The following is a 25,532-nucleotide window of genomic DNA, read 5'->3' as shown; positions in this document are numbered from 1 at the left end:
TTGCAAAAAAAACCCAAAAAAAACAAAACTAATACAGAAGAAACAGATTTTAAAATCTTTATTAATAAGTGTAAATTTAAGTTCTTTTCAAATAAAATGTGATGGTCAATCAATCATTTATAAAGATCTGAGGGCAAGATACAACTTAAAAGTAGATGTTCTACTTGACCAAATTCTAACAGACTTGATGTCAAGGGTAAATGTACACTCTTTAAAATCCCAAGAAAACCTATAGCGTGATGGCATGTTTCTTTGGAAAGTCTTAATTAAGCCAATCTGTTTTTCCTTCTGCAATCATGTTAATCGTTTTACCCTCACCTTTTTCTCCATTAGATACTGACATTATTAGATAGCTGTTAAGTTTTTAGTTCTAACATTTATCATGCCATCGAATATGACTTCCAAGTACAGGAAAACCTCATTAATTTTGACCTTCCTAAATTGAAATTTGCAATAATTTAGGCAAACTGTGTTTCATTTATCTATGTACTGCATCATACTGACTAGTTTTACTAGATCAGGCAAACTCTTCCTGACCCCTGGTAAGATTTGTCAAGGTCAACAGAGAGATTCTGAAGCCCATCCTTCCCTACCTCCCTTACCTCCTGACTCTCCACATGAACTGTTCTGGTCAGAAATAATTTACCTTTGTCATGTAAGGCTTTGCTATCAATGAACATAAAATGTTCTCTCAACCAGAGGTCACAGTCTAGATATTGCCAAGAAGTTGTGTTTTGTTTAATCCCTACAGTGTTTAATTGTGCACACATACACACACCCCTGCCCCCACTGGAATTTGAAAGCCTTCAGACTGAGTGTATACTTTCCAGTTCACCACAGCATTTGCCAGTCTTACATTCGGCTTCTTCATACATTTGAGTTCACCACCTCATTAACTGTTAAGATACTCTCATAAAACCATTTCAAAACATTCCACACTTTGCATTTTTCTCCGTCCTTCCTTCCTTCCTTTCCTCCCTCCCTTCCTTTCCTCCCTCCCTTCCTTCCTTTCCTCCCTCCCTCCCTTCTTTCCTTTCCTCCCTTCCTCCCTCCCCCTTCCCCCTCCCTTCCCCTTTCTTCCCCTCCCCTCCTCTCCCCTTTCCTTTCCTTTCAACAGAGTCTCAACTCTGTTCATTGCAGCCCTGACCTCCGAAGCTCAAGTGATCCTCCTACCTCAGCTTCTCGAATAGCTAGGACCACAAGCACATGCCACCATGCCCATGCCTGGCTAGTTTATTCTTTTTTCTTTTTTTGAGATGGAGTCTCACTCTGTCACCCAGGCTGGAGTGCAGTGGTGCGATCTTGGCTCACTGCAACCTCCACCTCCGAGGTTCAAGCGATTCTCCTGCCTCAGACTGCTGAGTAGCTGAGATTACAGGCACACACCGCCATGCCCAGCTAATTTTTCTATTTTTTTTTTTTAGTAGAGACAGGGTTTCACCATGTTGGCCAGGCTGGTCTTGAACTCCTGACCTCAAGTGATCCACCCACCTCGGTCTCCCAAAGTGTTGGGATTACAGGTGTGAGCCACTGCACCCAGCCTATTCATTGTTTTTGGAGAGACAGGGTGTCCTTATGTTGTCCAGGGTGGTTTCAAACTCCTGAGCTCAAGGCATCCTCCTTCCTCAGCCTCCCAAAGTGCTGGGATTACAGGTGTAAGCCACTGTGCCCGGCCTGCATTTTTTCTTCAGTGATCTCTGGAATACTATTTTTTTCTTTCTTTTTTTTGAGATGGAGTCTCACTCTGTTGCCCAGGCTGGAGTGCAGTGGTGCAATCTCAGCTCACTGCAACCTCTGCTTCCCAGGTTCAAGCGATTCTCCTGCCTCAGACTCCTGAGTAGCTGGGATTACAAGTGCCTGACACTATACCCGGCTAATTTTTGTATTTTTGTATTTTTTTTTTTTTAAGTAAAGATGAGGTTTTGTCCTATTGGCCAGGCTGGTCTCTAACTCCTGACCTCAAGTAATCCGCCTGCCTTGGCTTCCCAAAGTGCTGGGATTACGGGCATGAGCCACCGCCCCTGGCCTGGAATACTATTCATTTTCTGCTGCTTTGCTTGTGTTTATTAACATTTCATGGACACAGCCTGGTTCCTTATGGGCAGAGATAGGTCTTAAATAATGTTATGTCTCCACAGTGCCTAGTAGAATGTCCTTCATCTAGGTGTTCCGTGACTGTTAAATAACTGGCTAATATGTAACTAAGGGTAAATAAAGATCTGAACATCATATAGAAGGATACTAGTCATGTTGCACTTTGAAGTTCAACAATCAAAAGCATATGGATTATGTCATTTGATCTTTTCAAACCCCCGACAGGAATGGCAGTTATGACAGAAAATAGAGCACGAATGCCTTGTGTCTCGAGAAAAGAGGTAGAAATTAGGATAGATAAGTATACATATGTTTATCCAAATACATTTCAAATTAGTGCTTTCACTTTGATCTTGAGTTTTAAGACCCAAATGTCTAATTACTCATATGTTATGAGAGGCAGCATAATTGAGAGATGCAGATATCATTACTGCTAAACAATGCTTATGGCTCTATTCCTTCTAGACAGGATTGCACTTCCCTGCTCCCATGAAACTGGGCTTGGCCATGGGACTAGTTCTGACTGATGAGTGTGGGCAGGAGTGAGATGTATCATTTTCAAGCCAAAACATTTCATTGCCAGTTCAAGACATGTCATCCCTCTCCTTGCTTACAGCTGCTGTCTTGGTAGCACATGTTGCTGTGAAAGTGACATAAGATATAACAGAGAATGTTTTGTCAACACATGGATAACTATGTCTTGAAGGGTTGCCTGAATCTATAGTAGCTTTTGAGAGAGCAAGAAGTAATCTTTTGTTAAGCCACTGTTGTTAGGAGGCTCTTTACTGCAGTGGAAACTTGATTTTCCCTACTAACACAGCTATTGGGACCAGGGCCTACCATGTTGGAAGAACTCATATGGATTGATTCAACAGTGCATCTGTAAAGAGTGTGATCCTACAGCCAGATTGCCTGAGTTCATATCCAAATGCCATAGCTACTTGTCCAAGTTCCTTAACTTCTTTGTTCTTCAGTGTCCTTATCAGTAAAATGGGATAATAATGGCACCTACCTTATGGTGTTGATGTGTGAATGGATGAATTAATTCATGCAGAACACTAACAACAGTGCTTTAGAACAGTGCTCAGTGAGAGATAGCTATTATTAATGTTATCATTACTAGTCAGAAAGCATCCCGAGATGATAAATAAACTTAGCGTATTAGGTTTCTTACCACCAAACCTGCTCTTCCTGTCCTGTGTTCTCTATCTTAGTGGCATTGACACAGACTCTTTGGTTAAAATAAAAGATGTGGAATCTTCTTATCACACCCCATCACCACACATATTCAGCCAGTTGCTGTATCCTGGCGATTTTACTTTGACTATACAAATAAATAAATAAAACTTTTATAATCTCTCCAAAATACATTCCCTCTTATCTTTTCTTATTGTTACTACTGTAATTCATTACCACTTTCGTAGAGCAATAACCTCCTAATTTGCCTGCCTGCGTACAATATTTGGGAGACAGAATGATGATAGCAGAAACAGCACATATTTTGCCATGCATACTGACCTTGAACTCTGGCTGTATGTCTTGCCAGCTATAAGATTCTGGGAAAGTTACTTAATCTCTCAGTGCTGTTTTTCTTCATCGGTACAAGGGGATGCCAATATTCACTTTATAGGATTGTTGAGAAACTATATGAGATAATCAAGGTAAAGCACTCAGCATACAGAATCAACCATTCTAAATTTTGTTCCTTTTTCCTCCATTAAATTTGGCTCAAACTATTGCCAATATTATTTTCCAAAGGCTTAGGCCAGATCAAATTCCTTTCTTCCTCCAGAACCCTATGGTATAAAATAAACATAGATTACTTAGTATAAAATTCCATAGCCTCTAGAATGTGTTCCAATACTCTTCCACATTTGTGCTATCTCTTACTACTACTTGAAAGTCCCTCTGAACTTCTGTTCATGCCCCTCCTTCAGCTTGAAATGGTCTAACTCCTTCTCTCCCTGTCAAAAGTCTACTTCTAAGTCCAGAACTGGTACCACATCCTTTGAGATGCAAGATTTCCCTCATCCTTCTGTGTATCTGTTAGGTAGTGTGATAAAATTGCTGCACAACAAATGACCCTGAAACTCAATGGCTTATAACACCAAGTATTTATTCTTGCATATCGATAGGTTGGCTGAAAGTGGTCTGGGCTCAGCTAGGGTGACTCAGCTTTGCGCTGCGTGGCCCCTTTTCCTCCTAGGACAAACAGGCTGCCCTGGACATGCTCTTTTCATGGCAGTGGCAGAGGTGTGAGTGCTGAAGCAGAAAAATGCAGGCATTTTGAGACCTGGATGTGGAACTGGCACTCCACCAATTCTACTTCATTTGATTGGTTAAATCAAGTCATACTGCCCAATCTAAACTCAAAGTGTAGGGAGGTATGCCCCTTGCATTATCCGGGGGCCACTGCAGTGTTGCATGGCAAAGGCTGTGGTTATATGAAGAAATGAAGAATTGAGGGCAATAAAGCAGTTTCCACACTTTTGTTGGAATGAATGTTTAGAGGTATTAGAATTCTACTTCTATCTTTATTATAAGTGTTACATAGCTCTGTATTTTATTACCTGCATTTCTTTTTACATACTGACTTCTTTTCTTTAGACTACATATATATATAATTTTCTAGCTCTGCTAATAATTACTGCACTAATATCACTATCAACAACAGACATACTGTTACTTAATATTTTATTTCAATTCTCTTTGTCCTTAAGTTATTAGGAAACAGGGACATGGGAGTGTGGTCTCAAATTATCATCCAACAGATTACCTATTATGTACAAAAAGGGAAATGTACTTTCATATTGAGAGATCCCTTGGACACTCCCAAATCTGTGATCAAATTTGGAATCATCAGTAATGGGACAAACTGGCATTCCAGGCCTTCTGGTATGACGTGCCGGAGAAGTGTGCAATAACACCGTGCCAAAAAATGCTCATCCTTCATCTGTTTATGAGGAAAAACACACAGACACATTTAGAATATGAATATTCTGTAAGATTACTGGCCCTGACTATCCAAAAATGTCAATGTCATGGAAGACAAAATAAGGTGAAGGAACTATTCTAGATTAAAGGAGACTAAAGAGACAAATAACCAAATCTAATATGTGATAAAGGACATTTATGGAACAACTGTAAACTATGAATATTGACTTAAATAAAATTATGATATATGCATATTGAAAGATATGGGGATAGGACTAGGAAGAGTGCATGTGTGTGGCTCATTAGAGATTTTTTGTTTTTGTTTTTGGGGAAAGGGAGGCAAACCCTTATTTTCCACAGTGTTGTATCAATTCATAATGAATGGACCAAAAAAATAAGAAGTAGCAATGTAAGTGTACCATTTTGAGTTGTGAGAGTAAATGCCAAAAATTTCAATTAAAAAGGCTGAAAGGGGCCTTTAGGGAGTGAAAAATTGTGGTGCTGAGGGGATAAGAGGACTGCTGCCAAACTATTCAATTATTTTAAACTCTTTACTTACATAGTTTTGATAAAACTAAAATATAAATTAAAAATAAAATAAATATCAATTTGAAAACAAAATTATAAATGAATGTATTTTATAAAGAGCTACAGAGGAGAGGTAAGCTGGGACCAGACAGTGAAGGAACCAGTGTGTCAAGGGAGAATTTGAACTAAATCTGTTACTGCGGAGCCTGTTGAGAAGTTCAAGTAGGGTCATCATAATGCAGCTATTGTAGAGGCATAGAAAATCCTTCTAGAAATACTTACTGACCTCATTCTTCAGATCCCCTTACAAGTCATTCATTCATTGATTCATTGAGACACTGCTCTAGGTGTTGGGAATGTAGCGGTGAACAAAATAGGCCAGGCCCCTGCCCCTGTGGCGCTTACAGTACACACCTCCCAGGGTACGTGGCCAGGGGATTGATTGTGTGAATTTGGAACATGGGAGGAATAACCCCCCACCACCTCAGGTGGGGACCTCAGAATTCTCCAAAGGCACTAGAGGTGTGTGTGTATGTGTGTGTGTGTGCACACGTGTATGTGTGTGTGCCCTAATGAAATCCACCCTAATTCACACAATTTCATATTAATTTCATTTCACATTTATTTTGTGAGACTCCTGCCTCTAGATGTGAATGTCGCACACCCATGTTACTCCATGTTCTCTCAACAGATTGTCAAGGTCTCCCAGTGGCCTCCTCTTTTCCCTCAACTTGGGCAGATTTTTAAGCCGTTTTGTTCTCATTTCCTTTACTTGGGCTCCACAGAAGTTCTCTTGGCTGTCAGTGGGGAAGGGTGCAGGGTGCCAGGAGTGAGGGAGGGGTATATGTCTTTTCTAGAAGGGGGCAGAAGTCATTATCAATAAATGCTACTCTAGAAGATAAAAGGACCCTCTGAAGGGGAGTAGGAAAAAGAAGTGATATTTCCCTGGGGATGATAACAGGAACTGTTCCAGGAGGAAAGGCCCACAGGAAAGGAGACAGATATTACATGGAAAAAGAATATTGGAGCGCTGGATACATGGCTCACAAAAAAGCCTTTAAAAAATCAGAGAAAGGATGAAGTGACAAGGGAAAAGGGAACTAGTGAAAGGAGAGCTATAAAATTTATTTCCATTTTGTTTCCTCGTTTACCTCACTATCCAACTGCCTCTGGCAAGAAGATGTTCCAAAATGCCTTGAGATAGAGATTGGGTCTCTCATTCATATTGTCCATAGTAAAAGAAATTAGGGTACATTTTTTGAGAAACTCAAATAATGAAAGCAAAACAAAAGAAGAATATATGTCTTCTGTATATAATAATGGTGAGGCTAGAGACAGTCTTTTTTCCAAGGTGTTTCCATGAGAAAAAGAAAGGGGGGAGAAGACCTATTCGGATAGAAAAATTAAGATTCTAAAGAATTCTTTTTGAAAAACAGCTGGGTCAGATCTGGTGTTGTTGTATCTTTGCTATGTTGAAAGGGAAAAATACAATTAATAAGACAGTGCCAACTGTAACTGTGCTTAATAGGGGGTTATTTCCATTCAGGGTATGAGTGATGCTAGAAATAACAAGTAAATTATCCCTTTTCTTTAGTACAGAGAAAGCTTACTATCACATTGCATCCTATATTTCCACCTTTCTAGGTTCAATCATTCTTCTCTCTGAAAGTCTTATTCATTCCTCCTTTCTCTCTCTCCTCCCATCCTGCCCCTTTGATTAATTTCCAAAAGAAAAGGGCAGATTTAAGGGTCAGGTGCGGTGGCTCATGCCTGTGATCCCAGCACTTTGGGAGGCTGAGGCAGGTGGATCACGAGGTCAGGAGTTCGAGACCAGCCTGGCCAATATGGTGAAATCCTGTCTCTACTAAAAATACAAAAATTAGCCAGGGGTGGTGGCGCGTGCCTGTAGTCTCAGCTACTTGGGAGGCTGAGGCAAGAGAATCACTTGAACCCAGGAGGTGGGGTTGCAGTGAGCTGAGATCATGCCACTGCACTCCAGCCTGGCAACAGAGCGAGACACTGTCTCAAAAAAAAAAAAAAAAAAAAAAAAAGGCAGATTTAGATGAGTATTGAAGAAATGTTTCCATGAGAACACAATGTAAATGTCTAAAAGTGTATTGTTACAGTGTATACAACAGGCTCAATAAAATGCCCTGCATAATGAATAATTTTTTCATTGTTGGAGGATAAGCAGGTCTTCAGACAAGGGGATGAGGGTTGTTTAACTCTTCCTTTGAAAAAGACTGTCTGAGTTGAATAATTAATATTATTATGATAAGAACAAAATAGAGATTCTTTTAAAAGAGTAATGATGGTAGAGGCAGGATCTTAGTATGCTTGTGCAAATTATTAAAATTGAATGCTCTGCCTGTGTTTCCTGTACACTCCAGGAATTGCAAGCAAAAGAAGATGGATTGGATTAAGCAGAAAACATTAATATGCGTGTTGTCAACTGAGCCTTTAATGATTACCTTTTCAAAGATAAAAATCATTCAAATATTTTATCTAGAAACCAGCAAGCCTGTTTTACATTAGGTAATGAACTGAGAGGCAGACTGACTTTGAAACTAATACAGCTTCGAATTCATAGACTCTCACTTGGGCCCTTTCTAAGGTGTTGGGAGAAGTCCTAAAATGTGCCCAAATGTTTTGGTGAAATTTGCAAAAGTAGCATATTTTAATTGTAATCTATTATTATTATTATTATTTTATAATTGCTTCTTTGTCACCCAGGCTGAAGTGCAGTGGCAGGATGTCAGCTCACTGCAACCTCCGCCTGTCGGGTTCAAGCGATTCTGCTACTTCAGTCTCCCGACTAGCTGTAATTACAGGTGTGCTCCACCATGCTTGGCTAGTTTTTGTATTTTTAGTAGAGATGATATTTTGCCCTGTTGGCCAGGCTGGTCTCAAACTCCTGACCTCAAGTGATCCACCCGTGCCAGGCCTTAATTGCAATCATTTAAAATTGCTCTTTCCATTCCAACTTTCCCTGTCAGATTTCCCCTCACACTGGGTGTCATTGGAGTGGTGGTGACCATTTTTGGGATGAAGCTAAGGGAATGCTGAATTGGAAACACGTTCATTTAGGCTTAGTGAGATATATCTCTACACCTTGCAATCAGTTCTCCATAGAGTTAAGTTATTGCTCACTGTTCCAAATGAAGAAAAGGTTTCCAGGTGTGACACAAAGGTGTCACAGGATATGTGTCATCACAGGATATGTGTCGTCCCGGTATTCTAGTTCAAGAAAAAGCTGCCTCTCCCTTACCTCAAAGTTTCTGACCACTTTGGTATTTTGTAACATTTTTTTTCTCCTTCAGATTTGTCTCTCAAATGGAGTGTTTTAAACATATATGACAAGTAAGAATTTTCTTTAAAGAATCTAAGTGTAATGTTTACCCTTTGGAAGCTGCTCAAGCCTCCAAAGCGGGGCAGGGAAGTGCTGGGAAGGGAAGGGTGTGGTCCCTGGCGAGGGTTCCAACCCCATGCCTGTGCCCAGGGACCTAGGTGAGGACAGGCATTTTTGTTTTCCTGCCCAAATGTTGCATTTCCCAAGACCACATAATGTTGCATTTCCCAAGTCATACCTAAACTAATTATTTAAGATGAAAACAGAAATTCTAAATAGCGGTAATGAATAGACCCCTGGGAATGTTTGACAATCAAATTAATGAAGAGAAGTGAATCATATGAACATATTGGGGAAATATTTATATTTTTGGCTCATTTGAGACAAAATGCTGTCATTGATGAAGACAGTATAAAACTTATAATAAATTACAAACTAGTTAATGAATTTTATCAATTCAAGAGATATTTAAGATTAGTCACTGAACAAGAAAACTTGAAATCCTTGTAACCTGAGAGCTTATATATCAAAGAAATTTGATAAATGTCTTTCTAAATTTGACAACAACCCTTAAAAGTGTAAACTGTACTAATACCAATAAATAGGAAAATTTTCTAAATTATCTATAATGAAAAACAATTTTCAGTTATTTTGAAGAATAAACTGGATCCCAGATTATTTTTTTTGATTCTAGTATCTTCATAGAAAATTATAGTTTAAACCACAATGTGAAGAGGTACTCAAAGAGAATGTGGTAAAAAAAATACAAAAACAAATATTACAGAAATATGCAGTTAACTAGAGATTATTATTTAAATTTTTAATTTTTGTGGTGTTTATAACTACTAAAGAATTTTTAAATTGTTGTGATTTATTTTCTAAGTGGATATTCACTTTTGCAATTAATTTTTTATTCTTTCTCTTAAAGAGGGACTCCAAATTGTATAAACTTCAGGCTCCAGCCTTTGGTACCGTGTTTGATCTGAAAGATGTTGCCAGATAAACATACTTTTTTTGTTGTTGTTGGCCAGGCAAGGCATAGGCTTTGCGTTTGCTGATTGGGCCATGAAAAAGAGTGTTTGCATCTTCTGGGAACCTCTCTTTGGGTTGAGTTGGCAGAATACCTCCAAAAGTGTCATTAGCAGCCTCAAGCAAGAGCTTCTCCTCAATAAGCAATGCTGTGAAATATGATGCAACATTTTGTCTCATTAGAATATTGTTTTCTGTGTTGCTGGACTAGGAGTTAGGAAATATATATTTATGACACTAAGAAATGGTGTTTCGAATTTCATGAATCTGGGCGATCCTTGAAATAGTTTTATTTTATTTATTTATTTTTGAGACGGAGTTTTGCTTTTGTTGGAGTGCTGGAGTGCAATGGCATGATCTCAGCTCACCGCAGCCTCTGCCTCCTGGGTTAAAGCGATTCTCTTGCCTCAGCCTCCCAAGTAGCTGGGATTACAGGCATGTGCCACCACACCTGGCTAATTTTGTATTTTTAATAGAGACGGGGTTTCTCCATGTTGGTCAGGCTGGTCTTGAACTGCCAACCTCAGGTGATCCACTCGCCTTGGCCTCCCAAAGTGCTGGGATTACGGGTGTGAGCCACCACACCTGGCTGAAATAGTTTTATTGAGAGGCTTATGGTCCATGAAGGCAAAGGTTATTAGTGAGAAGAGCAAGTGAGTGACAAGGAGCCAGAAAAAAAGGAGACGAATCTTAGTTCCATTGAGTAGTCAATGGGCAATGAATGCCATGGGCAAGGGATATTACTTTCCACTTCACAATCTGTGTGGTCCCTAGAATTAGCTATTTCAGAACCAGAAAAACTGCTTGATAAAGTGGCTTCAAATAGTCATAAAAAATATCTATTGAACCTCTACTGCATGTCTGGAATTGAGCCAGGTACTGGGAATATATGGATGACTTAGGTTATGGTCTGTCCCCTTAGGGAGCTAAACAACTAGTTTGGAAGACAGGAAATTGACACCAGAATATAATTTTAAGTTTAACTTTATGAAATTGCCTTTTTATTATATGTCAATAATGGTTATTTCATATGATTGGCAATTTCGTATGATTGAATATCAATAGTCTCACATGGTTCAACATGAATAGCTACAGAGGTAATATTTTTCCCTATAGTGGGCCAGTACCTGGTTAATGAATGCAATAAGTTATCACCCAGTCAGTTTGATAACTGATCAAGCAAACTCTTCCATACATTGCTGAATACAGAAAATGAGAGTGGAGGGGATGGTGGTGAGGTGTCATCTCTCATTTCAAAATTCTTGCAATTTTTACAGAAATCAATTCAGGCTTGGTTGACTGAAAAATATCCCCAGAGGAGGTGGGACTTGAGCTGGAAACTGAAGAGGAGTGTGGACTCAATTAGGTGGAGGAAGTATGAGCGTTCATTCTTCCCTGTACACTTGGAAAAGTGAACAGGGTGGAATGGAATTGCAACAGGGTTCAGGTAGGGAGGAAAAGGAAAGAAAATAGGGAAGAATAGTATAATTTTGGTGAAGGGACTGAGGATAGGAAGGGGAACGTGGGCTATGAGCCAGAAATAAAAAATATAAAAATTTAAAAAGTAGATTCAAGGTCAACCCATGAAGATCCTTGAGTGAGCTTGGATGTTATTCTGAAGCTAATGGACCAGGTAACGGTAATTTTCCTGGAAAATTCAGGGAAGAGTGTTTCAGGAAATCTCTATTAGGTTCTTGCTTTCTGCATTCTATACTCCTCTTGGAATCGGCGTTCTAACAACTGCAAACCTGCCCATAGGCAGGTGAACTTGAAAACCCTGGAGACAAATTATTAGAGGGGCTTGGGTTGGCTGTTGTGTATCAAGAGGGCACAGCAACTCTGGGGTGCTTCGACACTTCCCCAAAGTAGTGAAAGATCAGTTCTAACTCTTAGAAAAATAGAAAACCATTACTGAGAAGGAATAATTTGCATGTGAACACACTCTATTTGTGTTTTCACACAATGCTTATGTGTTCGTGTGTGTTAAATATGTTAGATTCAAAAATTAAGCCTGAGAAAAACCAGGAAACAGAAGAATTACTGTAGCTCAGAAGTATGAGTAGTCTGGTCTACAGGACAGCAAAAACATATCTGATGGCTTCTACAGACTAAAGTTCCAAGCCACTAGGTATATCCACTCACACAGCCTTCTCTCCTGTGCGTTTGTATGGCCGCTTCTCAGGAATGCTGGTGAGAAGCCCATGATATAACCAATATGAAAATGTTCCACCACTGTAGTATTCTAGATATTTGAAAAGACAATGGATGAGAATGAAAATGATGCATATACAATAATATTAATGTTAAAAGTAAACAATACTACAGGTGGTGATAAGGGCTATTAAAATATAAAAGAGTTCAATAGGAAGAGAAATGAATGGATGTTTGCCTTTTCAAAGAGGGTGGGTTTGTAAATGCCAGGAAATCCAGTTTCCTTTAGGGATTATTCACGGGCCTCACCATCTTCTCTTCTCAAGGCATTTAAATAACAGGATCCACTTTAATAAAAAATGTCAAACTCCTCCCGCCTTCACTAGCAGCCAGAAAAGCACGCGTATGGTCCATACTATACAATTTAGCCACGAATGACACCTGCTTTGCTTTGTTTTCTATTGTGTTAGGCGTCAGCCTCGTGTGCTCAGATAGATCTTAAGCTCCTTGAAGGCAAGAAAGAACCCGGTCCCAGACTGCGTCCGACACACAGAATGCTCGTAGGAAGCACAGGCTGATTTATGGAAAATACAGCAAGGGTCTTCAATTTCGAACTACAGCTCCGCCTTGGAGATGCTTTCCGCAGCCCGCGGGCCGCCCACGGGGGGCACTGTCTAGCTCCCCTCGCCCCTCAGCCGCTCTCCGTCGGTGCTGTTCCCCGCTGCGGCCGGGAGGAGGCGCCACGGACTCGGGCTAAGCTTCTTCCCCCTTCCGTCCCCCTTCCATCCACCTTACCACCCCACTTCCCCAGCACATGACGTGGGAAGCTGCCTCCGCCAGAGTCTTAGCAAGAGGAGTGAGGGGGTGCAGGGGCTTGGGGGTGGGGTGGGGTGGGGGGTGTGGAGAAAGAGGACACGCGCGCTCACACCCGCCCCTGGGAGCAGAAGCAGTATCTTCCCCAGCTTCGTGGGTTTCTCCTCCCCCCGGAGTCAGGGTGTGCGAGGTAGGGGGTGTGTGTGTGTCTGTGTGTGTGTGCGCGGCACGTTTTTGAGTGTGAGACCCAAATCCAGACCAGGCAACCTGCGTTCCCCGCGCCTCCCCCCGTCCCCGGTGATTAATACCCATTTTTCTGACGCTCCCCTCCTCCCCTCCTGCTCTCCCTCTCCGGCTGCCGCGCGGTTGACTTGCACAGCCTGCCCCCGCCCGCTTCCCTTCCCCCGGCTCCGATCCTCACCAACTGGAATCTGGGCTCCTGCCTCTCCACCCCCCACCTCTTTTTGAGAAAGGAAGGTTCCCCCCACCCCCTTTCAAAAACCACTTCCTCCGGCTTCTTCACCTCTAGGAAATCTCGGGGCTTCGCTCTATCGAGAGTGCTCGTCAAGGGTGATTCTTGATCACCACCATCCAGTAGTGCTGGCGTCCGAATGCATATCCTTTTGCCTTGCAAAGAAGAGTCATGAACTTCAAAACCCCCGAGACGGATCATTAATCCTGCTTTGCAGGAAAGGAAAACCCTCCATTCCCAGCCACCGGCCACCCCTCTCCGCAGACTGCAACCGCGGAGGCGCTCGGAGCCGGTACGTAAAGATGGGCTTTGGAGTCTCTCCTTTGAATGTAGGGGTTTGGGGGTGTCAGGCAGATAAAGGGTCGAAGCCGTGAAATCGTGAACGAATCTGGCATGAGGTAAAGCTCTGAAATCCAGCAGAACCCGGCACTTGCTAATTTGGACGTGGCTTTTTTAAAGGTTTTTTTTTTTTGTGGGGGAGGGGGTGCTGTGACTGGGTAGGGCTGTCTCTGGTCTTTTGGGGGGTTTCATCCCTTCACCTAGCAGAGGGGCAGGGCAGCGGCGCCCCGGGCCGGACCCACGCGCCGAGCCCATCCGTCCAATCGACACGTTGCAGGTGAAGCCCCGTGCGCTGCACCTCAGCGCGGCGGCAGCGTGAGTGTGCGCGGGGGTGAGTGTGCGCGGGGGTGAGTGTGAGTGCGCGCGGGGCGCGTGCGCGTCGGGGGCGTGTGTGCGCGCGTCAGTGTGCCCCTTCCAAGAAATGCCCAGTGTGCACCCCGTGCACAATCAGAACCCATTCAGCACAAGCCCGGGGTGGGAGGCGGCGCTGCTGCTGGAGGCGATGGGGAGAGCGAGCGAGACAAGTCAGCAGCAATGCAGATGGGGCTGGGGGCCGCACTCGCTGGCGAGTTAAGTGGGAATTGTGTTTCTGCGTGTGTGTGAGTGTGTGTTGCTGTATGGTGCCGCTTCTCCCCCCCTTCCTCCTTCCTTCCCACTTCCCTCCTTCGCTCGCTCCCTCCCTCTCTCCTCTTCCATTCAGGTTGGCTTTCCCACCTCTCATCCGTGCCTGTCCCAGGAATGGTATAGCCAGACCTTTTCTGAATTATTTATAGACCGGTACCAGCTGTTTTCAATTCCTCTCGTGTGCACTCTGTGGGAAATGCGGGGTTTCCTCCCCCCTTTCCTTAAAACGAATTGATATCTTTTTCGGAATGCATTTTTCTCACCCTCCGGGGGACACGCGAATCAAGCCCTGACCGCCTCTTTTTCCCCCTTAGGAAGGGGACGCTTTGGGAATGACCATGCTCCACCGAGGGACGGAGCCGGCCCCCAGCTTCTCCACACAGAGCCTCCTCCACTAACGCTCCAAAAACCAAAAACCGTAATTGCCAGAAGAAGCGTTAAAAATCTATTCCAGCCACTAACCTCACATGCACACGGAATAATTACTCTGGATTCTGCATTGTGAGCTGCTCTCCATACCCTGAATTACCTTTGAATTAAATCTTTTTTTTTTTGAATTTGCATCTCTTCAAGACACAAGATTAAAACAAAATTTACGCTAAATTGGATTTTAAATTATCTTCCGTTCATTTATCCTTCGTCTTTCTTATGTGGATATGCAAGCGAGAAGAAGGGACTGGACATTCCCAACATGCTCACTCCCTTAATCTGTCCGTCTAGAGGTTTGGCTTCTACAAACCAAGGTAGGGCAAATTCTATTTTATTTTTTCCTCACCTGGGGTAGGGATTCCTCATTTTATCTATCTCTTCGAGTCCCTCAAGTGGATCTTTTTGGAAGAAAAGGTCACAAGATATGAAAATAATGCTGTTTTGGGAAAAAAGGCTTATTACAAAGAAGGAAATCTCCCATGTTTTTTCTTTTTCTTCTCTCATCTAACAGGTTTTGGGCTTTTGGGGGGCAGTGGGGGTGGATGTATGCAGGCACAAAAGATGTTGGATGGCATCAGGGGAATGTATCTATATCTATAGACATAGCCAGCCAGGAGACCTGTGTGATTTTCCAGTTAAATAGCATTTTATTCACCCAGAACTAAAGCTCCGATTTTTATGGGAATCTAGAAATCCTTTTTTTTTTTTTTTTTCAGGTTGGCTTTATTCCCCTTGTCACCTTCATGCCTCTCTCCCTGTCTCCTGTCTTTACCTTTCTAGGCATCCTTTCTATGCCCTTTAAAACAGATAAAAATAATGATTGAGATTACTGTGATTGTTGCCCTGAAATCCACTTGCTGTCTAAAGGGTTGACAAGGGGCCCAGAGATCCCGGGAGGCCTATTGCAGAGGGGTAGGTCTAGGTGGGGATCGGGCTGGTCTCAGAACACCTGGAATTGAAGGATGCTGCAGGTTAAACGACTTAAATCTTAAGCTCGGAAAGGAGGAATTCTGTCAATATTCTGCTTTTAATTTGTATTTTTTCCTGTGCTATTATTTTTGAGCTGTAAATTTCTCCTTCTGTCTACATATCTATTTATACCCACACATCCTCCAAGCAAACTGTTACTTCTACACTCTTGCAAAATGGCTATCTTGCAGAGTTCTAAAATGCTGTGCATGTGGAAGGGGTGCAGAATTCGACACGTGAGTCTTTGTGTTAAACAAAGAGATGTGCTGTTTGCATGTATTAGTCTTGTACCCTCAAAAATGGAATTAATACTTTAACATTTTCCCTTTCATCAATTTTTACAATATGTGAAATGTGATTAGGCAGTATTTTAATGTACTTGAGAAGAGAAATAGCAGGAGAAATGGAAAAGACTTAGCTAATGACTCTTCAGCTAGTCACTCATGCAATCCAAGACAACTCTTGAGAGAATCAGATCATTCATGGGTTGGAGGGCCATGATGGTGAGTGGGCTGCTCCTTTCCTTGCTCCACTGACCATATGTCCCTGAACTCTGAAGGCGTCTAAATGCAGGGATCAGGTTGGGATAAAGATCTCCAAAAACATGTAGCAGAATCATTAGCATCATTATTTTTCCTAAAAGTATTACCACCACCCCAACACACACACAATTTTTTTTTCTGGCATTTTAAAACAACAATTCTTTGATAATCCAAAATACCAAAGGGATGTGGGGAAGAGGTGAAAGATCTTTGTCGCTCAACATGACAGTAGATGATAGTTCTTCATTGTCCAGAAAGGATAGATGTAATCCAAATTCACTATCCCCCTTCTCTAGGTTTCATTCTTTTGAGTTTTACTGCTGAAATGCTACTTTGTAACCATGGTGTAATCAGAGTGAGAGGGTGGGATCCCACTTTGAACCATGTTCTCACCACGTCTACAAATGACTGAGGTTATCTGGTGTGTGCTCACCTTAGAGACACCTGAACTCATTCTCCATCTGCTTCCACTCCAAGTAGGAGGATGAACTCTTAATTTGACTTCAAAATAGAAAAGAGGTATGGGTGAGAAAGGCAGCTCCATGTGCAATGCTTTCATACATACAGATGGACAAGGAGAGGAGGGCATTGATGGGGCACAGGGCCCCTTTTGCATCCCCAGTGCCACAACACCAGTACTCTACACCCAGTAGGTCCTTTGGAATGTTCGTTTGTTGGTGATGGGTTTGACAAGGATGCTGTTTGACAGGATCTCAGCTACCTCATTTATCTTGAATGCCAATGGATGAAGCCAGGTTCCAGGCTATCATTAGTTGTCCCTAAGACTAGGCGAGGTTGAAAGGGGAGGGAGTTGAGGAAGAGAGGAAAAAGTGGGTGGGGAAGCTATAAAGGGAAAGGAGAGGTAATCCAACTGGAAGAGGCTTGTTAAGATTCAAGGAGGAATCGCCACAGGTGGTCTGTGCCTTTTCACCATGCAAAGCCATTTTGGAGACCCTGATGAGGAAGCAGGTGTTCCCCATCCTCGCAGGCAGTCTCTGTGAGGCTGTGACTCAGTGGTGCTCTGAGCCATCTCAGGGCCTTTGTTCTCGCCCCCTTTTTCCCCCTCACAGCACAGAGCTGACTGGGTTCTATTTTGTCTTTTCTCCTTCTGCCAGCCCCCTTACAATGTGGGTGACATGGGAAAGAAAGGTGGCGGCTGGTGGGAGGAAGAGCAAATTTAATTTCAATCGAGGAACCTCCATGATGTGCAATTAAGAAAAGTAATAATAATGGGAAATAAAGACTTCCCAGGACACAGTTAAGGACATTAGGTGGGTGATTTCAAGAGAAGCAGAACAACATGGTTATCTTCTATGTCTGTTTCAGGTGTGGCAGAGCATGGCGGATCTGTGAACACAGAGTGATGTGGCAGTTTAGAGTTAGGTGTTACATGTGAGGAGAGGAGCCGGGAGTACCACTGGATTGTCTAATTTTTCCTCTCCCGTTGGTTCCATCCCTAGGAAGCCTGTCTGTCTGAAGATCCATGCTTTGCTAATGTATATATGCAATTTTTGCCAGGGATGGACGCAGGCAGAGAGAATCAATAAGAAGGTGAAATGACAGGAAAGGAGGGGAAAGAGAAAAAATCCTCAATTCAATACTTTGCACACCAAGTGCTTTTCTTTAAGGCTGATTGAGAAGAGCGACTTCCTCTGGAGAAGGGATGAACAGCAGGAACCTTGATTTTGTGTTCTTGGTTTACCTCCAGAAAGATAGCTTTGGAATCTTGACTGTCTTCCCTGACCTTCATGTACATTCACCCAGTCTTGTGTGGGGAGAGGCAGGGGGCACCTGGGAGGTGGGCAAATGGACTGAAATTGGCTGGTGGAATGAGGGGTGTTTGGGAGAAACAGGACTGAGCTGATGCATCCCTTGGCCACAATATTACCTTGTAAAACATTCTTCCAGTTCCTCCATGAATACAATAAACCCTGGGGGCAGGATTTTTTTTTTCTATATTCTTGTTTAAGAATCTGAAAACAAAGGTGACATATATACTACTAACAGGTTAAAGTAAAAAAATTGTTAATATTTATGGGCTATAAATAATATTGATGGACTATAAAAGGAGACAGGTGAAAGGACAAATTGTATGGGAAGAAATCATAATCCCAAATCAGCATGTAGAAGCTAGGGAAGAGAAAAAAGCCAGGGTTGAACTCACCATTCTAAAGATGGGAAAACTGTTGTTCCAAACGATAGTCTTGTGTCTTTAATATTGAAGACTGGGGCCGACAAAACCACTCATCTTGTGTATTTTGTTGGAGTCAAAAGTAGCTGAGCTGGAAAAATGAAGCTCCTCTTTTTCCTCAGTGCCATTCTACCCCATCCTTAGGAATTCTAGAAATTTCTTCCTTTCAGTAAACTACATTTTCAGTCGCTGCTCCTGTGCACATGATTGGATGCCAGTATTGTCTCTCATTGTAAATAAATATAGATCAAAAGAGTTACTGGTCTAATGAATTGTTCGCATTTATTAAAGTGCATCTACTCTTTGCAACCACAAGAGGAAGTCTCCAGGGAGAGTAGATTAGTGGTTGAATTGATATCTTCCAGAAGGAGGCCAAAGCTAGAACAGAATGTAGTCGGGATGAAAGAGCAGGCATAGCTCAGAGAAGGTGGGTTTTTGAGGTTCACCTGCGGCTGTTAATGGTGCCTGCGGCCATTACACAGAATCCATTGTGCTGTGAACATTTTGGGGGATTGTGAACCCAGCAAGGTGTGTTTATGAACCTTTAGTTGTTTTCTTGATGTTCTCCACCTTATTTTTGGTCTTTTCACTTCCTAGTACTTTCAGCAGAGGTTGGCAGAGAAGGGACCTCATGCACGTCTACCTTGTCCCCTTGGTGAAACTCTCCATGGCTGCCCCAGGCTGTGGAATTGCCTTCCTTTCTGGTCTTCACCAGCATGTGCTCATGCTTCTTAGTTTATCCTGACTTTGTTTATATGCCCTGTTTCCCTAAGAAGTTTGTGCACTCCTCAAGGGCAGGGAGAGATGTTTTATTCATCTTAGAATCATTTGTACTTAGCGTAGTGACTAGCACATAATAGATTATCAGAAAATGTTAAATAAATGAACAGAGAAAGGAAGTGAGATATTAATTAGTTGATGATGCTACCTGTTTGTTCTGTTGGGTTTAGGAAGGGTTAAAATTTTGTTGTTAGATGAGATCAAGAATATCAGAGCTATGTGATACTTTAGAAAGCATCTACTCTGAACTTCTCATTTAATAAAGAAATTGAGATCCAGGGACATTAAGTGATTTTCCTAAGGTTGTATAACTTCTTTAGCACCAGTGCTTTGTACACCATGCCATTGATTAGAGTGAAATGCAGAGTTATCTGTGGATTTTAAATATCTACGTCAGTGCTGCTCTAACTTTATCGTATATTAAAATCATCTGGAGATTTTGTGAGACTGCATATTCTAATTCAGTAAACCTGGGCTGGGGCTCCACATTTTGCATTTCTAATGAGCTATCAGTTGACGCCAGAGTTGCTGGACCACGCTTCACAGGTCTACACCATCCCTGCTTTTAATTACAGACCATGGTTAGTGGCCTTGGCACCAGAACATTGGCAGTTGTGCTTGTATTCTACTTTTGGGATTCCAGCACTTCTTTTTTTGTTTTGTTTTTTAAATCAGAAAGAAACCTGTATATTTAAGTTCACCCATCTCCTCTCTTCTTTCACTCTTTCCACCTATGCACATCTTTTGCCTGCTCTCTTTTCATTCTGTGCTCTCTTATTCTGATGCTTCTCATAACTGATTCCTCTCTTTCTTTTTTTTCTTCTTATGTCCTCCTGCTTTTTAGTTTATCTTTTTGTTAATGTCTCTTAGTCTCTTTTACACTGTTCTTTTAACTTCATTTATTTTCATGTCTTTTGCTTTGTTCAATTATTCAACAACATTTAAGAATATTGTGCTATGAAAAAGAGTTAGCTCTGTCTGTACCTGCCAGGATCTAGTGGTGTGGAGCAGGATCTAGTGGTGTAGCCCAGGATCTAGTGGTGTGGACATGTATAAAGAGATAATTATATATTTAGGTAAGATCTAAAAAGGAGAGAAATCTGGGAGAGTGAGGAGGGCTTCATGGAGGGGTTGACATTTAAATTATGTCTTGAGGAAAAAATAGGAGATTTATAGGATACAGAAAGACAGGTCATTTTAGGAGGACAGAAAGCATATGAAGAGGAAAGTTGGTGTAAAAGGCAAGCCTCCCGCTCTTCCTTGCATCCCTTAACTCAAGGAAAAGAACAACACAGGAATTTGCTGCTTCTTTGATTAGGAATTTCAGATTACAAATGACAAGGTTAGAGAATAAAGCCAGGGTCGTCTTAAAAGAAGGAAGAGGCTCTAATTTCTGCTTTCATGATTGTATAGTTAGTGAAATCCTAGCCTTGTTTATTAGACTTGCCTCTAGAATGAGCAAATGATACAGTTTTCATCTTAGACCACTGGATTGCAGCTAACTCTGTTGATGGCCATTACAAAGAAAGGGACAGCTGTTAGTTGGTTTGTGTCCAAAGGGAAACCTGGATCCTAGCCCAGGCCAAGCTACTCAGAATGAAGGACCAGCCTAGCCCATGTGTTTCTGGAGTAGGGAGGTAAAAAGTTGCCATGCCCTTCAGACACCAGCTGCTTTCTGTAATGGCAAAGGGAGTGATGGATGAAGAGGGATCCCATTATTCCTAGGGGATTCACAAAATGCTTTTTGGTAGTCTATTTAGAGTGGCTTGATATTTTAGAGGTTTTTACTCCTGGGGATGTCCAGGTGTGGAGATGCTGGGGAGACACCTTCAGTCACCTCTTGATTAAACTATAGCATTGGTGCCTAAGGGAAGATGGGCTTGAAATGGATGATTCCCTAAATTTATTTTCTATCTTTTTCTGCTCCTTATCCTTTTACCATTTATCTACACTTTCACCATTCTTTGTATGTTGTGGTTTGTATTTGTTTCATTAGCAGAAGAAACCTAAGCTCAGCCTGATGACTTATTAAAGATGCATTACATATAAAGAGAGTACCCTGGATCTGAAGATATGTGGGTGAGTAAATTCCCACCATTGACTGACCTAAGAGTCAGGCATTCCAAGGGGACTTGAGAGGCAGAGCAGGGGAGGCACAGTGATGAGGCTGTGCCCAGGGTCCCTGAGAAGGCGGTGGAGGGGAAGCAGGGCCAGCTCTCTGTGAATGGCAGACCTGGAAGGAGAGAGAAGCTACAGGCTTTGGCCCTCCTTGGAGCCCAGCTTGATGGGGAGCGTAAAGTCTGTAGTAGAGGAGCTTCCTAGATTAAGACAATTAAAGTTTCAATGAATTAACCCTCTGAACTGCTCACTCAACTCACCAACGGCAAACTATGCTGTCTACACGCCATCCTCTGTGTCTTTCCTCACTGCCTCACTCAGACTGAAAATTTCTTTCTTTAGAAAGAAATGTCAAGCTTAAAGTTCCCATTAATCTTTATATAGACCCACTCAGGGCTTCAACCACATAGAATTTCTTAGGAAATCAGATCTTGTTTCTTTTTAAGAGGGGGGACTTAAAAACAATGGCTGAATAAAAGCACTACATGGTTACAGGAAGGGAGAAGAGAGTCTCAGAAGCCTGAAGCTCAGGTGAGGACGCTCATTCTTTTTCCCATAGCTAATTGTTCTCTGTGAAAATGGCCGACATTCTTAACTAATCCTCCCACCTTCTAGGGGCCGTAGTCTGGTCACACAGATGCCATAGCAGTTTGTACTTTGGATTCGAGATTAGTGTATTGGATATGTATCCAAATCCACACACCCCCCACACACCTGTGCATATTAGACTTGTGTGTGGATGGATATGTTTGTGCAGTGACTTACCTACCAAATATAGTAGGCCCCAAAATCTTAAATGCATTAAATGTGTGCAATTTAGGGACAATAATGCATGTGGTCTCTGTGTGTGGCACAGGATAATAGAACAATAATGCTGACAGTCACCTTGGAGGTTACGTGTCCTCCTCGACAACCACCCTTTAAAAACTGTGAAAATAGTCCTAAGGTTGGCCATGTGGCCTAAAGCCACATAATGTGGTCAGCCACGTCCACTGACCCTCATTTCAGTACTTTCCTTTCCCGTGCCCTGCCCCCAAGAGCCCCCTTGGAATGCATGGCCCTAAATCAGCCAGTGGTGTGCATTTGCTCATCTACATAGCATCAGAGTCCGGAGTTCTCTCTTATATGTAATGGGTCTTTAAAAATGTTAGGTTTTTCCAGGCTGTCCAGTAGCTGCCTATATGATAATGAAAGAGGTGGTGGTCTTAGGAGGTGGTGGTCTTAGGAGTCAGAAGCTTATATTTAATTCTGCTTGTGTTGCTTTATTCTGTGACCATGTACAAACCGTTGACTCTGGACCTCAATTTTCTAATTTCCATAAAGTGACAATAGTCTGAAGCAGTGATTTTGAACTCCACTTCAATAACAAAATCATCCACAGAGCTTAAACAAAAACAAATACAAAAAACTAAACAAGAATAACAACAAAGAAAAGAATGATGCCCATGCTCAGACCCTACCCCAAAGAGTTAAATTGAAATCTCTCAGGGAGGGATTCAGGCGATGGTCATTTAAAAAACTTCCCTGCAGGATTCTAATGCGAAGCCATATTTGAGAATGACTGGGCAAGATGATTGACAAGGCACCTGTTAGCTCTAAACATTATGTTACACTAGCATTTTAACATGAAGGTAAGACCTTGTCACTGTTAAACTGTTCTATGATTAGTGGAGGGTCCCTGGGCCAGAAGTTAAAAAAAAATGCTGTTGGGATATGACGGTACTTAGTCTACAGCTTGCACCCAAGGGGTGGAACTGGGGTTTGAATTAAGGGAAGCTCTCTCAACACTAACACTGGCCTGGTGTTGAAAGTTAGGAAACTTAGGGAGAATGCTTTCCTGACGCCCTTAAAACAGGTGTGGCTGCAAAATAGGGCGAGCAGTTCTTGGTTTTGCAAACATCCTCTGTTCCACTTAGTCTTTATTGAGGGTGCCCCATTTCTTGTTTCGGAGAAAAAACCTCATTTCGGTCCTTTGTAACAGTGTAAATGTAGGAAAACTATTAATAAATGGGGCTGGCTAAGCAGACCTTGATTGATTGGTGAGGGGTGTGAATGGTGCAATTATCTGAGTGCTAGTTGGAATTCACTAGCCCTGTTGCCCTCCCTCTCAGTGCCTGAAGTAGAATATTAAAGGCACGCAGAGGAGGAAGAGGGTAGGAGGCATCAAGATGTCGTTCTTCTCTGACTGTAACTTTAATCACTGATTATTAGGCTGGCTGGGTTAATAGTTTTCTCACATCCTTCCTTTTTGGCTTACTCTCTTCCCTGTTTTAAAATAAATGTGAACCTAAATGTACAGAGGCAAGAAAAAACCCAGATTTATGAATCCGTGTCTTTAAAAAGACAAACTATAAAAGAATAAAAACACTACTTCTCTTTTGGACAGCTGCTAATAGCCATTGAAGATAAAAGAGAAAGGGTATGAGTGTGGTTTGGACTCTGGTGTTTGGTGGGCTGTGTGGTGGTGTGAGGCACTAAATATTTAGGAGAAAACTAAGACGCATACTCCTCGATTTGAATTTTTCAAATATCTACTGGCTGGCCCCACACAGGCAAAACATCCAAATCATGGAGCTACTGCAGCCTTTACCCTGGAATTTGTTACCATGCAGATAGATCAGTTTCACCCGTGAGCTCTGTGGAGCCACAATTGCTGTCTTTGTGATTCGTGGTTCTTCCTCTCATCACCTTGTTAGAGGCTCCAGAATTGTTTCTGAGCTTGAGGGGGAATGGAGAATATTTCAGTTTTTATTTGATTTTGTTTACATCTGTATCCTGGTTTTTCCTTCAGTTCACATAGGAAGAAGGACTGCAGAAGAAATTCTACCCTGGCCAAATACAGGTGCTCAGATTTGAAAGATCTTTCCTGAGTAGGAGAATGCTACCCTTTGGATTTTTGAAGAAAGAAATACTGGATGTGTGTGTGTGTGTGTGTGTGTGTGTGTGTGTGTGTGTTTAGAGCCTGCATGTAGAAGAGAAATCACTTTTGTTTAAAAGTGATCAAATTTGTTAAAGTGATCAAATTTATTAATTTTTTATTTTCCTGTGAGGACAAGATTTATGACTTTGTCCTTTTATGTCCTCAGTGGTTAGCAGAGTGCTCTCTGCACATGGTCAGTGCTCAGAAAATATTGGTTGTTGGTAAAGATGATGATGGAAATGAACGTGCATTGAAGATAAAGCTGACATGTTTATACCTTTTATGTTTCTATTTCCTTGCCATCCAAGCACCTCTTAATGCTTTGGGTGAGATTTACTAGAGTGGAACAGACGAAAGTATCTTTAGTGCCAGCTTTAGGCTGATGAAGTGAAAATATACTCATTCCTTAGTGCCTCAGTTCTTTGAGCTTCCTTTCACATTGTGTTCGATATGGACATTTCTTCAAAAAGCTCTCTCTCATCACTAATTATGCTATTGCCCTTCCTTTCAAATTCCATGTAAATACTGTTCATTCCTCAAGGCTCATCTCAAAGGCAGGCTCCACCATGAGGTCTTGCTTGATCTCCCCAACTAGAAGTGAACTCTCCCTTGGGAGGCCGAGGCAGGTGGATCAAGAGGTCAGGAGTTCGAGACCAGCCTGGCCAAAGTGGTGAAACCCCATCTCTACTAAAAATACAAAAATTAGCTGGGCACGGTGGCAGTTGCCTATAATCCCAGCTACTCAGGAGGCTGAGGCAGGAGAATTGCTTGAATCTGGGAGGCAGAGGTTGCAGTGAGCTGAGATTGCACCACTGCACTCCAGCCTGGACTGTCTGGAATAAATGGGATCATGGTTACCTTCTCAACCTCTCCTTTTTATTATGTACCCATTTACAAAGCTGCTTTGATTTCAACATAAAATTCAAGTTTGACACTGAAACTCATAAATGATCTTTCAGTAACCATTGCAGGCAATCTAGTTTATTGATAAGTCTGCATTTACGCAACTGAGACAGAGATTAGGAAAAGGAGTGAGAAGGTCCTGGAATTATGTAATCAGAATTTGTATATCCTTTAAAGACAAGAAGTGGAATGAAAATGCTAAGAATTATTGCTGTCAGTCTAAATATAGTTATCTATGAGGAATTGCCTTGCCTTTGCTGGAGACAAATTTCTATGGAAAATTATATTCTAGATTATGCCAATTATCTTCTAGATTATATTAATGCACATTACTCAATCCTCACCAC

General features: G+C 42.0%; 1 protein-coding gene across 5 annotated transcripts in view, besides 1 other annotated feature; it reads left to right on the top strand.

Annotated features, from left to right (window-relative positions):
- Positions 8,450-9,649: an enhancer, noted in NCBI's record as "P300/CBP strongly-dependent group 1 enhancer chr12:14138289-14139488 (GRCh37/hg19 assembly coordinates)". NCBI's record gives its function as "activates an origin of replication core promoter dependent on BRD2, BRD4, P300/CBP, MED14 and CDK7 cofactors, with strong dependence on P300/CBP, by STARR-seq in HCT116 cells {active_cell/tissue: HCT116}" and the evidence as "EXISTENCE:reporter gene assay evidence [ECO:0000049][PMID:35650434]".
- Positions 12,870-25,532, top strand: part of GRIN2B (glutamate ionotropic receptor NMDA type subunit 2B) — a 444,798-nt gene continuing 432,135 nt past the window's right edge. For 2 of the 5 annotated variants that reach the window (NM_000834.5, NM_001413994.1), the window contains exons 1-2: positions 13,402-13,662; positions 14,648-15,076. The gene's annotated coding sequence lies outside the window, so the exon portion shown is untranslated. Of the gene's footprint in view, positions 13,089-13,401; positions 13,663-14,158; positions 15,077-25,532 lie in introns of those variants that run through there. The other 3 variants (NM_001413992.1, NM_001413993.1, NM_001413995.1) reach the window with 3 other exon arrangements.

This window comes from Homo sapiens, chromosome 12, assembly GCF_000001405.40.
Source record: "Homo sapiens chromosome 12, GRCh38.p14 Primary Assembly".
Taxonomy (NCBI): Eukaryota; Metazoa; Chordata; class Mammalia; order Primates; family Hominidae; genus Homo; species Homo sapiens.
Note: the sequence above shows the minus strand (reverse complement) of the source record. Positions and strands in the feature narration are given on the sequence as shown.